Consider the following 15067-nt stretch of genomic DNA (forward strand, 5'->3'; position numbering starts at 1 on the left):
TAAAGCCATATACAAATATAACAGTCTAAAAATGTGTAAATAGATCCTCACATATTATGAAGAAAGATATTTATCTCAGTATATCCATCTGAATGTTCTCAGGATGAAAAAGCCACTACAAATATTAAAAGATTAGGAGGCAGTATATACAAATTACTGTTTGCACAAGAGTGTGAAGAGCAAAGAAGAATATTCAATAACCACTGCAGCTCAAAGCCTTGGTGCCAGAGCAAAGGCCAGAGAGTGCAGGCAAGTGTGAGAGGCAGGATGCACAGGGCTTCAAAGTGAGAGCCCGTGGAGGGTTCCTGAATCTGCCTGGACGGTGGCCCGGGAGCTCCTGCGGAGGTCTGCACAGCATCTGGGTGCGTGGCAGCCTCTAAATGTGTAGAAACAGCCTGCTCCCTAGGCGCCCCACATCTGAGCCTCACTGTGTACGACAGTCATCAACTTCTGAGAATAAATGCTTCCACTGCCTTCCCACCATCTCAATCTTGTGTCAGTTTCTCTAATTCACAGATTTTTAACCAGGAGCTTCAGAGAAAATAGGAGTTAGAAAATAATTCCCATCCTTGAAAGGGACTGGGGTGGGGATGCCTAGGAGAGTTATTAAACTGGTCTAGCATCCTTCTAGGGGTAGAATTTTGTCTCCCTCTAAATTCATACGTTGAAGCCCTGTCCCTCACTATGGCTATGTTTGCAGTCAGGGCTTTTAGGAGATGATTAAGGATAATGAAATAAGAGTGAGGCCCTGATCTGATAGGGTTCATCTCTCTGTCCCCACACATAGATACCCCAGAAAGACCATGTAAGCACACAGCCATCCGCAAGCCTTCACCAGAAAACAACCAAACTACCACCCTGATCTCAGACTTTCAGCCTCCAGAACCATGAGAAAATAAATTCACAGTGTTTGCACCATCCAGCCAATGGTATTTTCTTACAGCAGCCTGAACTGACTAATACACACACACACACACGCAGGCACTACCTTTACTGTAAATGGTTCACAGTCTAAAGTTTGGCATTGTATTTCTGATTTCTTTTCTGTGATAGGCAACGTGACTAAATATCTAGAACAAAATATAAGTAAATCTAGTAGAATAATGATATTTAGATATTTTTACCAAATGAAAGTGTCTAGACAGAAAATATTTCAGAGTTTAGAATTCCCTAAAAACAGTACATTTATAAAAGAAGAAAGTCCAGAGGCTAATAGTCATTGCTTCCACCAGATACATTATCTATAATATAAGCAGATTTTAAGTAGGGGTTATAAGAAAATCAGTTACAAACATATAAATGTGTGCCCTAAATATATGTCTACTTTTAAGAAAGCTATTCCCAAAATTGCAGATTTGACTTTTTCTGTGTTTTTCTTTAACGTAATTGAAAACTCCCATTTTGAATCTGGTCTGGCCTTGTAACTTGCCTTGTTCAATGCAATGTGGTGCTGGAAGTGATGATGGGGAACTTCCTAGCTCTAGTCTTAGGAGGACTAGAACATTTCTTTGTATTTATTTATTCATTTACTTTTATTTTTTATTTTTTTGAAATAGAGCCCTCACTTTGTCGCCCAGGCTGGAGTGCAGTGGCACGATCTCGGCTCACTATAACCTCCGCCTCCCAGGTTCAAGTGATTCTCCTGCTTCAGCCTCCCAAGTAACTGTGATTACAGGTGCTCGCCACCATGCCTTGCTAATTTTTGTATTTTTAGTAGAGAAGGGGTTTCACCATGTCGACCAGCCTGGTCCGGAACTCTCTGCTTAGGTGATCTGCCCACCTCAGCTATTTATTTATTTATTTACTTTTGATTTTTGTGGGTACATAGTATCTGTATATCTTTATGGGCTACGAGGGATATTTTGATATAGACATGCAATGTGTAATAATCACATCATGGAAAATACAGTATTCACCACCTTTGTGATGAGGAAAGCATTTTTCCTTTGTCTTACAAACAATCCAGTTACATTCTTTAAGCTATTTTAAAATATACAATTAAGTTATTTTTGACTATAGTCACCTTGTTGTGTAAGCAAACACTAGGTCTCATTCATTCTTTCTAACTATTTTCTTGTATCCATTAACCACCCTCATTCCCCCACCACTGTCCCTCTCTAATTATCCTACCCAGCCTCTGGTAAGCATCATCCTACTCTCTATCTCTATGAGGTCATTTTAATTTTTAGCTTTCACTAATATGTGAGAACATGCAAAGTTTGTCTTTCTGTGCCAAGTTTATTTCATTTAACATAATGACCTCCAGTTTCATCCATGTTGTTGCAAGTAACATAATCTTTCTTCATGGCTGAATACTACTCCATTGTGTATATGTACCACATTTTCTTTATCCATTCATCTGTTGATGGATACTTAGGTTGCTTCCAAATCTTGCTACTGGGAATAGTCCTGCAATAAATATGGGAGTGCAGGTATCTCTTCGATGTACTTATTTCCTGTTTGTGGGGGTATATAACCAGCAGTAGATTTGCTGGATCATATGGCAGCTCTATTTTCAGTTGTTTGAGAAACATCCAAACTGTTCTCCATAGGAGTTGTACTAATTTACATTCCCAACAACAGTGTACAAGAGTTCCCTTTTCTTCACATCCTCACCAGCATTTGTTATTGATTGACTTTGGATAAAAGCCATTTTAACTGGGATGAGATGATATCTCATTGTAGTTTTGATTTGCAGTTCTCTGATGACCAATGACGTTGAGCACCTTTTCATATGCCTGTTTGCCATTTGTATGTCTTCTTTTGAGAAATGTCTATTCAGGTATTTTGCCTATTTTTAAACATATTATTAGATTTTTTCCCTATAGAGTTGTTAGAGCTCCTTATATATTCTGGTTTATTAATCCCTTGTCAGATGGGGAGTTTGCCAGTATTATCTCCCATTCTATGTGTTGTCTCTTCACTTTGTTCACTGTTTTCCTTGCTGTGCAGAAGCTTTTTAAATTGATGTGATTTTATTTGTCAATTTTCGCTTTGGTTGCCTGTGCTTGTGGGGTATTACTCAAGAAATCTTTGCCTGGGTTAGACACTTTTATATCCTCCTTCGTAGAAGTCAACCACCACCATGTGTAAGTCAGTCCAGTCTAGACAACTGAATGCTTGAAGGACTGGAGAGGACACTGTGGACAATGAGAGGCCTACTTGGTGGCTCTGGCCCTCTCTGAGCTTATGGCTCAATGATGCTGACTGGGTGGCTCCAGCAGCAACAGACAGAGTTTGGAAAAGCAGCACAACTGAACCCTGCCTGAATCCTGACTGATAGAATCATTTAAAAGGTGAAAAAAATGTTGTATGAATACACTAAGTTCTGGGGCAACCTACGATACAGCAATAGAGAAGGGACACAAAATTTTGTATCTGGAATGGGAGTGCTACTGAAAAATTTGAAAGATATCATTGATTTTGGACCAGGTTGAGCATTCCAGGTGAAACACTGAAAGTGTCAGTCAGCTTCTTTTTATTTATTTATTTATTATTTTTTTTTTAATTATACTTTAAGTTCTGGGGTACCTGTGCAGAACGTGCATGTTTGTTACATAGGTATACACGTGCCATGGTGGTTCGCTGCACCCATCAACTTGTCACCTACATCAGTTATTTCTCCTGATGTTATCCCTCCCCTACCCCTCCACCCCGTGACAGGCCCTGGTGTGTGATGTTCCTCTTCCTAAGTCTGTGTGTTCTCATGGTTCATCTCCCACTTATGAGTGAGAACATGCGGTGTTTGGTTTTCTGTCCTCGTGATGGTTTGCTGAGAATGATGGTTTCCAGCTTCAACCATGTCCCTGCAAGGGACATGAACTCATCCTTTTTTATGGCTGCATAGTATTCCATGGTGTATATGTGTCACATTTTCTTTATCCAGTCTATTATTGATGGACATTTAGGTTGGTTCCAAGTCTTTGCTATTGTGAATAGTGCCTCAATAAACATACATTCGCATGTGTCTTTATAGTAACATGATTTATCTGTAAATAGCTTAGGATGAAGTGTGGAAAGAGAGAAAAGCTAAAGAAAAAGTTTTTTAGTTTTCAAGCAGAATTTAGAAGAAGCAGTTCCAAACCAGACTTATTCTATTGAAAAATAAAATTGCTTCTCACTTTGAACCTCTCTGGATAGCAAAAACTTCTCAAAGTTAAAAACTAAAAATAAAAATGAATTTTAAAAATGATAGCTTCAAAGTAAAGATGAAATCTAGGGTCCAGGGGACTCCACGTAAAATACAGCTTCAGTGGAAACATTAAATAGGTTTGTGTCTGCACAGTATTTTTTGAAATTTCAGAAAGATTTAAAGTGTTACATTGTAGATGTTATCAACAAACTAAAAAGCCATCTAAAAATCTTAAAGGTTTTGTCCTTTAGCATTCTGACTGGCAGCCCAAATGTAAAGAGAAATTCAGCACATATAGTTTTATGGGAGGGGCTTTTAATATAGGAAATGCATGATTATTTTACGCATGAGAAGCCCACAGAGTTTTTAAAGGAGGTATATCTGCTTATATTTAAAGGAGCAATGATGGTTTAAAAATAATGATTTTAAAAAAAGCGGCCGGGTGGGGTGGCTCACGCCTGTAATCCTAGCACTTTGGGGGGCTGAGGCGGGTGGATCATGAGGTCAGGAGATCGAGACCTACCTGGCCAACTTGGTGAAACCCCATCTCTACTGAAATACAAAATTTAGCCTGGCATGGTGGCACACATCTGTAGTCCCGGCTACTCGGGAGGCTGAGGCAGGAGAATCGCTTGAACCCGGGGGGCAGAGGTGTCAGTGAGCACTACAGCCTGCCAACAGAGCAAGACTCCATCACAAAAAATAAAAATAAAATAAAATAAAAACATCCAACTTTCTACATCCAAAAACAAGCTGAGAAAGCAATTCAGTTGCATACATAGGACATTCATGTATGGAAAAGAATGGATCAAGTAGAGCCAAAGTCCAGAAGACAGAGCCAAGAGTTGCCGAGATGTACTCCGAAGAAGAACTATGCCCCAGTTGAAGAATGTTCCCTGCCGCTAGAATAGGAAGCCCTGAAAACCTATGCCCAGTTGGATTTCGGGATTGCGTTAGACCAATGGCTTCTCTGCATTTTTCTGTTCCTTGCCTTTTGATTGGGGAGATCTATTGCAGTCATTCTATTCCTGTTAGGTGCATGGGTGGGGAGGCGAGGCAGAAAAAAATATATTTTGAGTTTACAGGTGACCACACTGAGAGGAGCTATACTTGAAAAGCTTCTTTATCTAAACCTTAATTTAAAAATCAGTAAACTAACAGGATGTTCAGAGAGTGTGCGAATGTGTTTTTCTTGTGAGGGATGTTGATGTTTATGACAGGCCTCATATTATCTTATAGCCATATGCTTGTTCTCTTCCTCACTTCAAGAAGTGGAGTCTATTTTCCCTTTCCTTGAATCTAGTTTTATGTTGTGACTTGCTTTGATCAATACAATATGGCAAAAGTTATGTTCTGGAATTTCAAAGCCCAGGACATAAAATCAGGCAGCTCTGCTTCCTCCATCTTAAACCCCAGTCACTATGCAGTAAGACAATCAGACTAGAGAACTGGCTGAGAAGGCAAGTGAAGATAAACACTTGAAGGCTGAGAGTCCATCTTACTTCTTACAGCTCCAGAGAAGCTCACTGCTCAAATTCCTGGTTAAGAGAATTACAAGAAATTATACCTTTGATATTTTAAAGCCAAAAAGTCTTGAAACAACTTGTTACAAAGCTATAGATAACTGAAATGCTGTCTTGTATCTTGTTTGAAATATTTGATAACATTATTGTTTTGTGTGTTTTACTTAAAAATATTTTGTTAAATTTTCTAAGTTTTTTCTAAACATATTTTGTATATATTTAAGATATTTTTATCTATTGATACATTGAAGTAAAAGACTTTCAGATACTAGAAATAATCAGCCTACTCCTCAGATAGATTCTATATCTTCAATGCTACTATACTGTTAAATTCTAGTTTCTATATGGCATTTTATGCATATAAGTTTAGAAACTAGCATTTATGCATATATGAAACTAGCATGTATGCATATATATTTATAAGTGAGATTATTCTGTTAAAGGTTTCGTCAAGTTTTGATATCATGATTATATTAGTTTTAGAAATTGTGTAATTTCTCTCTTTTCCTAATCGCTAAATAATTGCATATTTTATACATTTGTTTGATTTTTGAAAATTTCAGAGGGTTTATCACTGTGCTATTTTAACCCTACTTTTTAGACGTATTTAATATTTTATGTCAATTGATAGACTTAATAGACTTCTATTTGTAGAATTGATTTTGATGACATATTTCTTTTAGCTTTTAGATAATTATTCATTATATATTATATTAATATTCATATGTCTCTCATTAGATGGTAAATATATATTAACTAAAAATAGATTCTGGTAATAGCGCCATCATATAAAACTTGGGGTATCACACTTAATTCAAGTTAAACTAACTGATAGAAAATATACAGTTTATTAGAGACCAGATTTTTGTGATTTTGTAAAAGAAGAAATTTTAAGTTCAGGACAAGCAGGTTTGACACAGAGTAGATTTTCTATCCACCAGGAATTTGAAATTAGTGGAAAAATTCTGTATTCAGAGTGGAAATCCGGCCCCTGTCCTTAAGGTAATTGGTGTCTTGGAAATTATTCCCAGGAGTGCCGAGATCAAAGCCTGGGCTCTGCCGAATCCTCATTCCAGGGATGCCATTTCCAGAACAGTTGTCCTTTTCTCTGAAGCTTACACTTCTGAACATTGTAATAGGCAATAATTTGAGTTCATTAATTTGTTAATGTGTATTGATGAATTTTTCATGTCATTGTTTAAGATAAGCTTATTTCTATAAGAGTATTTCAGCTTTTATGGAATGCATTCAAAATCTGTACTGTCACAGTTAAACAACAGGAGATCAAAGTTACGATAAGCAGCTATGACCTCTTCTAATGATCAGTACCAGCAATTCTAAATTCACCAACAGATTTTATAGCATATAAGGCATTTAACTTGTTATGACAAAATAACTTTAGTCTCATTTTAGTATAAATATAGATATTAGCAGAATACAATTTTGAAATAAATAAAAGACCTAGCCCCTGCTAATGCCTGTGTGTGTACATCCGCATTCTGTGTCTTTTCTCAGGAGATTCAGAATCGCAAATTCACACAATAGAGAAAAGATGCCCATGGACTCTAGTTTTAGAACACCGGCTACAAGAAAACACAAAGCAAAATAAGCAACTGAATAATAGTCAACCGAGATGTCTTCTAGTGCCTCATGTACTCACAGTAACTAATGCAGGTGAAAACACACCTTATCTGTACTTAAGTCCACTATATTGTAGTCACTTAATTAACTTATTTATAGACTACAGAGCCATGAAAAGACATTGAAGAATCTTATAGATATATTGGTACATCAAATAAGACAGTCTGAAAAGGCTATCTGCTGTATAATTCCAATTATGTGACATCCTGGAAAAGGCAAAATTATAGACAGAGTAAAAAAAAAAATCAGTGGTTTTGGAAGCAATAGGAAAGGTAAATAGATAAAGCACAAGGGATTTTTAGGGTATTAAAATACATTCTGCATAAATCTGTGACGGTGGATGCATGACATTATATATTTGTAAAAACATAGAGGTCTTAATGACGAAAAGAGTCCAGGCGCGGGGGCTCAATCCCAGCACTTTGGGATGCCGAGGCGGGTGGATCACAAGGTCAAGAGATCGAGACCATCCTGGCCAACATGGTGAAACTCTGTCTCTACTAAAAATACAAAAATTAGCCGGTCATGGTGGCGGGCGCCTTTAGTCTCAGCTACTCAGGAGGCTGAGGCAGGAGAATCCCTTGAACCCGGGAGGAGGAGGTTTGCAGTGAGCCGAGATTGCACCACTGCACTCCAGCCTGGGCAACTGAGCAAGACTCTGTCTCAAACAACAACAACAACAGCAACAGCAACAACAACAACAGAGATTCTAACCTTAGTACACATGTATGAGACAGACTCACTGAAGCAGGGGAGGGAAAAGGTACACATCTAAGTAACTTTGGAAGTGAGTGGGATCTTTAATGACTAAAGCAAAATGACTTGCGTATAAGCACTGTCCTCCAGATCCTACAATTGTTTCCTAGGGGTTACACAGATGAACAATTCTGACATTGCTATAACAGTTCTCACACATGTAAATTAGTGTCACACATTTAAGTAAATAGATGGCAGCCCATGGTAGCCAGATTTGTCATTGTTGGGATAGGAGTTTACAGATAAGCAAAGTGAGCAGGTTAGAATGATCCATGTGGTAATGCATGAGAGTTGGAGATACCAGTATAAATTCACGTTTCACTCAGATGTCCTTCATACAGACACAGATGGTTGCATATGGAAATATTTATAGAAATACATGGGTTAGTGTGTGCACATAGATTTCATTTCTATGTCAGATGGTATGACACCGAAGAAACAATAGTCTAGTAGCAAGAAGCACACCCAGTTTCCACATCTTGGTTTCTAATACCATTCTCTAATAAAAGGAAACGGCTCCTTGATGAAATGGCTGATTCTAGCATTGAAAAGGAAATATACAAGATGAGCATCTGATATCTTGTATTCAGAAAGTAAGGAAGTGCTAAACACACACACAAACACACATTGGTAGGGGTGTGTCAAGGAGACACAGGAGTCAACTGAAAGAGCTACCAAAATCCAAACAGAGGTGACTTGAGCAACCAAATAAAGTAAATTCAATGATAACCCAAAGTGTAAAATAAAATCCATCAGTACTTATCAATATAAATAAATGACTGAATAAATTAACAAATGGTGGAGAATGCCTGGGCCAAGAATCCAAAACACTTATATAGATACTCCACCGTGAAAGAAGAAGAGCCTCATCCTCTATGCCTTAAGTGTGGGCTGCACATGGTGACTTCCTTCCAAAGATTACAGTGTAGAAAGAGCAGGGAAAGGAACTGTACAGCAGAGAAGCCTAGCAAACCTCAGTCGATTGATTAGGTCAATCTTAACAGGTTGTTAGCCATCTTAACAGAATGTAACCTCGATATGTTGTGATAATGAAAATAGCATTTTACCTCTGTGGTGTTCTTTCCAATGAACAGGACTAGCAATCTACTCACGAGACAAACATCAGATCAATTCCAATAGAGAGGCATCCTGCTATAACAGGGCCAATATTCCTCAAAACTGCCAAGGTCATCAAAAACAAAGGAAGTCTGTCACAGTCAGGAAGAAACTGCAGAGACATGATAGTTAAGTGTAAAGTTGTATTTGGGATGGGATCCTGGAATAGAAATACGACATTATATAAAAACTAAAGAAATCTGAGAAACTAAAGGCTTTAGTTAATAATTATGTTTCAATATTGGTTCATTAATTTTAAGAAAGGTACCTTACTAGTGTAAAATGTCAATAATAAGGAAAACTCTGTGGGGGTACATGAGGATTCTCTGTATTACGGTCTCAAATTTTCCAGTCAAAAACTGTTGTAAAACATAAAATGCATTATACAAACACAAATATGAGTTAAAGAAGATCTCTGTTCTCAAGAAGCTTACTGTCTAGAAAGAAGACAAATACCCAAGAAATTACAGTCCTGTGTGGTAAGTTTTATGATAAAGGGAAACAAGGGACATGAGCATCTGGTGGTGGTGTACATAACAAAGGCCATCAGTTCTAGGGAATCCTGTAGGAGAGAATAATTATGAACTGATATTACAGGAATCAAGGAGTGAAGAGGGCATGAGAAAATGCAAGAAGCAATAAAGTCCAGCCCTGAGTAGTTAACTCCTTTTATTACCAGGATCGAGAACAAATTCCCTAGACTTTTATGGTTATTCTAAATTTCATTGCAAATGTTCTTTTCTGCATTATCTCCTACTACTCAACTCTGTATCATTAAAAACTCTCTGTTTCTATCTAGCTTGGATGTATCAATTGCTTAAACATGTTCTGCCCTCTCTGGCCTTCTCTGAATAGTTACTTTCAGGATGCTGAGCGCATTTTTGCCCCTTTAAAAGGCTATGCAGTGTTTAATACTGGCCCTGTTTCACTTCTCCTTGAAAAGTCCCAAACTCTTCCACTTCATAAGTTCCCTTCCTACTGCAAACTCAGTTTGTTGCGTATCCTTCATTTTTAACATCAAGTATATATCACATCTTTTTAGAATCCTCTGAATCCAATTTTAATAATTTTATTTTTTTAAAAAATATTTTATGGTAACTTTGGAATTATGTACATTCTTATGTACTTACACATTTTCACCAGTTATATTTCTCAATCCTCCAAATAATGAACTTATTTTGAAATCATTGTTTAAGAATCATAGAATCCTTGAGTATCATTTTTCCCTCCACCATTATTTAAAGAGGGAAAGAATAAGAACTCATATTTATTGATTTCAATGTATCAGGAACTGTGCAAGGCATGTGAAACATGTTAACTTTTCAACCCCCCAAACTCCTACGTGGTAGGTATCATTATTTTCATTTTCTGTGAAATGAAACTATCAAAGGTCCCCATCTATGTAAAATCTACCCAAGGAAATATGTCAGAATCCTGAGCGTGGAATCCAACAAGCAACAAAGTTCAGGCTGTTTCTATTCTCACATACATCCTCCTTTGTGCAAGCAAAGGGATTGAGACTCATAAAGCTGCAATTACTACTGATTGTCATTTTTGTATGACAGCCACAGGCCTTGCCAGATATATGACCTTAAGCAATTTTTCAACATCCTAATTCCTGTTTCCTCCTTTTTAAAATGGGGCTAAAAATAGCACACATCTAATGAGATTGTTGTGAGGAATGAATGAGATGACGTGGGTGAAGTGCTTAGAGCATCCTCTGACCAGGAAAGCCCTGTTGCTACCATTGTTAACATCATCATACTTTATTGTCATGATTTCTTTTTTCTTTTCTCCGTTCTCTATGGCATAGAAAACTCCCAAAACTTACGTGTTTGTTTTATGGTTTCTGGTTTTACTTCTATGACTGCCTTCTCATTTTCCAGAGTATAAAAAATGAAATGGTATTTGACTTCAGTTCAAGAGCTTCTGTTAGTCACACTAAAGTGCTTAAGGAAAAGTAAGGGTGTAGTTAAGGCTGTCAGGAAAATATGGGGATTGCCACACGGCTCTGAGCAGGTAGTGATGGGGGCAGTGCAGGTGCATGCAAACTTTCTCTCCTCGTCTTCAAGCACCCTAATGAACTCAGAAAGGAAACTTTGACATTGAGAGCACAGAGAGAAGAGACCCTAATTGAAATACAGCCATAAAATGTGTGATATATGTTAGTAATTAGAGAAACTGCTTAGTTCTCTTCTCAGGTTTAATAGCTTCTCAAAGATTGTGAATAAGTTGGGGTACTTTTTAATATTCCTCTGAAATATGTATCCATGTACAACTTTGTATTACATAACTAAAAATGTCTTTGATCTGAAGGTCTTAGATTTATCCTAGCAAATTAAGTATTGAACAACTGATCTCTAGGCCGGCTTTATTCATAAAGCAAATTAGTGAAGGCAATCAGTGCCCAGTTTAGGATGCTGGTCAACACAGAGGGGTACAGAAGCTTCAATCACATCAAATAGCATGAGCTGTCATCCAAGAAGAAGGAATGCAGGGTGATCGGCACCATGAGAGTTATCTTAATTCTGTTCAGTTTTTAAAAGGTAAACAATTTTAAAGATGTCAAGGGTTGGAAGTGTATAACCACATACTCAAATAGGACCGTAATGCAGAAAAGGAGTATTCACAAAGACGTGCCTTTTGTCTCCCCCAGAAAAATACATAACACGCTTCAAAATTGAATCATGTGTCACACTAGAGAATTAAAAAATAATAAAATAAATGCATGCATCTGCAAAATTGTCAAAGATGTTCTCAGTTTCATGAAATTAAATTATATTGAATTTCATGTTCTCAGGTTCACGATTGATTACCTCCAGTTTCTCATGATCAGCAGTGCTCAATGTCAGTAGGTCTCACTTGTACCGGATAACCTGAAAGTTACTGGGAGGTTTGGGTCAACTTTCGAGTCTTCAAATCTATTCAGGAATTTTATTCTTCTTATTTCTTTTTTAACTTTTTAGATTCAGGTGGTACATGTGCAGGTTTGTTACCTGTGTATGCTGCATGAAGCTGCGGTTTGGGGTATGAAGCGACCGGTCACTCAGATACCAAGAATAGTACCCAACAGTTTTTTGTTTTGTTTTGTTTTGTTTTGTTTTGTTTTGTTTTGAGACAGTTTCACTCTGTTGCCCAGGCTAGAGTGCAGTGGTGCGATCTCGGCTCACTGCAACCTCTGCCTCCCAGGTTCAAGCAATTCTCCTGCCTCAGCCTCCCAAGTAGCTGGGATCACAGACATGCACCACCATACCCGGCTAATTTTTTTTTTTTTTTTTTTTTGTATTTTTAGTAGAGACAAGGTTTTGCCGTGTTGGCCAGGCTGGTCTCGAACTCCTGACCTCCGGTGATCCACCCGCCTTTGCCTCCCAAAGTGCTGGGATTACAGGCGTGAGCCACCGCATCCAGCCAACAGTTTTTCAACTCTTCCCCCTCCCCCTCCCTCCAGCATCTAGGAGTCCCCAGTGTCTATTGTTGACAGGAGCTATGTTAAAACCTTTCCGTTTGTATATTTGTATATGTGGATATCAAAATGTGCATAGCAAAGGTAACTATAAAATGCTTGGTTTCAATGCATCCACTTTAATTCTATGAGTTATATTAAAGCTCTAATTCACATAACTGTTGAAGACAATAAGCACAGCACTGAGCTATGTGAAGTGCATGAGACATGCCTGGCTCCATTATCTTACATAACTTGGCTGCGAATACTGAAAGGACATTGTGTATCAAAATATTTTAGAAACAAAGACTGTTATACATATATTTGTTGTATTTTTAGTTTTTAAGTGGGCCATGTATATGGCAGAGCAGGCAAATTTCTATTTGACCGTTTGTTTTGTTTTGTTTTCCTAAGAGAGAGAGGGTCTTTCTCTATCACCCAGGCTGGAGTGCAGTGGGGTAATCTCGACTCACTGCAGCCTCAAACTCCTGGGCTCAAGCAATCCTCCCACCTCAGCCTCCAGCGTAGATGGAACTGGAGCTGTGAGCCATCATGCCTGGATAATTTATTACTTTGTGTAGAGACAGACTCTTGCTGTGTATCCCAGGGTGGTTCTGAACCCCTGGCCTCAATCAATCCTCCTGCCTTGGCATCCCAAATATTTGACCTTATATGTGGTTTTATTAAAAGAAATAGGATGTTTCCAGTAATGGAAGTGAACCAAAGGAAGTAGTAAAAATGTATTGAAGTGCTAAATTTTACATTGAATTACATTTAAAAATGTTAACACTGAAAGAAAATATCATTGTTACGTCACCAGCTTTTCATGTTATTGACTTATCATAGTAAAATGGCACCTGTAATTAATTTATACTAAATGGCACCTGTATTTGAAATGCTAAATTTTATACCGAATTACATTTAAAATGTTATTAACACTAAAAGAAAATATCATTGTCACATCACCAGCCATTCATGATATTCACTTATCATAGTTAAATGGCAGCTGTCATTTGTACTAATGTGAAACATTGGTGATATGTGCCGACCGTCAAGACATATTGAATGAAGGGGCCTGAAGAACAGGTTAATGTGATGAATTGAGGCAGTGCTCCTTTCACGAGGGCACTAGCTGCGGGGGGGTCTGTTCCTGCAGACCCCTGATTCCGACAGATGAATAAAGTACACTGACACACACATCTGCTCCTGAGCATTTTAAAGCATTTTTATAGTATGCGGTTTTGCCTAATACGGTATTCTCATAGCAAATAAAATGCTCTGCCAGTCCAGCTGAGGGTCTGAGCAGCTTACAGGCTCCAAGCTGAGTTCTGTAAACAGCTGCGACTCGGCCCTGATCCACTAGTCAGGTTTGCATTTATTCAGTAAGACTAATTAACAAAAGTTGTGAGTAAATACCACTAGAGGGTAAAGATTAAAGGCCAGGTTCCCAGGCCTAAAGCAAACACCAAACTTCTGCGTAGGAGGCCGTAAAGTACCTAAGATAGGACAAAAGTTAGTCTTAAGCCCATGTAAGTAAACAGTTTTTTGACTATTACTGTAACTAGCTTTAATATATTTCCTATCAGCCAGTTCAAATCCCAGCAGTGAATCAGTACAGTCACTCCTTCATACAGGATGGGCTAGACATTCTTTATGCAGGAAATGAAATAGATGAAAGCCTTGTTATGTCAACTTCCAGTCACAGTTCTTAATCATTCCTCATGGGGCTAATCATTTTGTGCCTTTAGTGCAGAAGAGTTCTGCTACTTTGTAGCTCAACTTTGTACTGATTTCCAAAGACATATTTACAGAGAAGACAACACATCTCTCTTCACAATTCACCGTACTTAAGGATGGTCTCCTATTCATAGATTCAAGAAAATATTTTAATTATAGTCCACAATTTTCCTGTAACTTCTTTTCTGGGGGAAGAGGGAGAATAGGAGTCTTATTATTGAGGTGGAAAACATGGAGAAAGAGCTTAATTGTTGCAACAGCAGTACTTTTATCAGGGTAGAGCAATGTCGTTCTGTTCACTGAAGGATCTAACAGTTCACCCAAGTTACACCGTGTTGTGTAGTCATGCTCCAGGCAGGGTGCCTATTCTTCTCTAGGAGACATAAGTCAAAACATGGAGAGCTGCCAGCTCTTGATTTTTACTGGCTACAGAGATAAAGAGGAAATGGTTATTCAATAAATAACATTTTTACAATTAAAGATAAAAAGGTACTAGAAATAAACAGAATATTCTTTGGTTTCATCTACATGGTTACCACAACCCATAGTGCTGAATGTAGGCATATTTCCTGATATGACTATTAACATAAGGCCCTCTAAATATTTGATGAGTTTATATGTGCCTTACAGAAAATCTAATTTCCAGGTTATCACTGACAGTATGTTCTGCTTCTGAGACTGCTTCTCTTCTCTAAGAGGAGACAGATTTTCAGGCATATA

General features: G+C 37.9%; 1 long non-coding RNA gene across 2 annotated transcripts in view, besides 1 other annotated feature; it reads right to left on the reverse strand.

The window, feature by feature from the left end:
* LOC105372190 (uncharacterized) overlaps positions 1-15067 on the reverse strand; it is a 312925-nt gene that overhangs the window by 69232 nt on the left and 228626 nt on the right. The window lies entirely within an intron of this gene.
* Positions 2981-3150: an enhancer, noted in NCBI's record as "experimental_49987 CRE fragment used in MPRA reporter constructs". NCBI's record gives its function as "activates a minimal promoter by MPRAs in K562 erythroleukemia cells, with activity observed for the non-introgressed 18:71117899 variant allele {active_cell/tissue: K562}" and the evidence as "EXISTENCE:reporter gene assay evidence [ECO:0000049][PMID:34662402]".

Source organism: Homo sapiens, chromosome 18 (assembly GCF_000001405.40).
Source record: "Homo sapiens chromosome 18, GRCh38.p14 Primary Assembly".
Classification (NCBI taxonomy): Eukaryota; Metazoa; Chordata; class Mammalia; order Primates; family Hominidae; genus Homo; species Homo sapiens.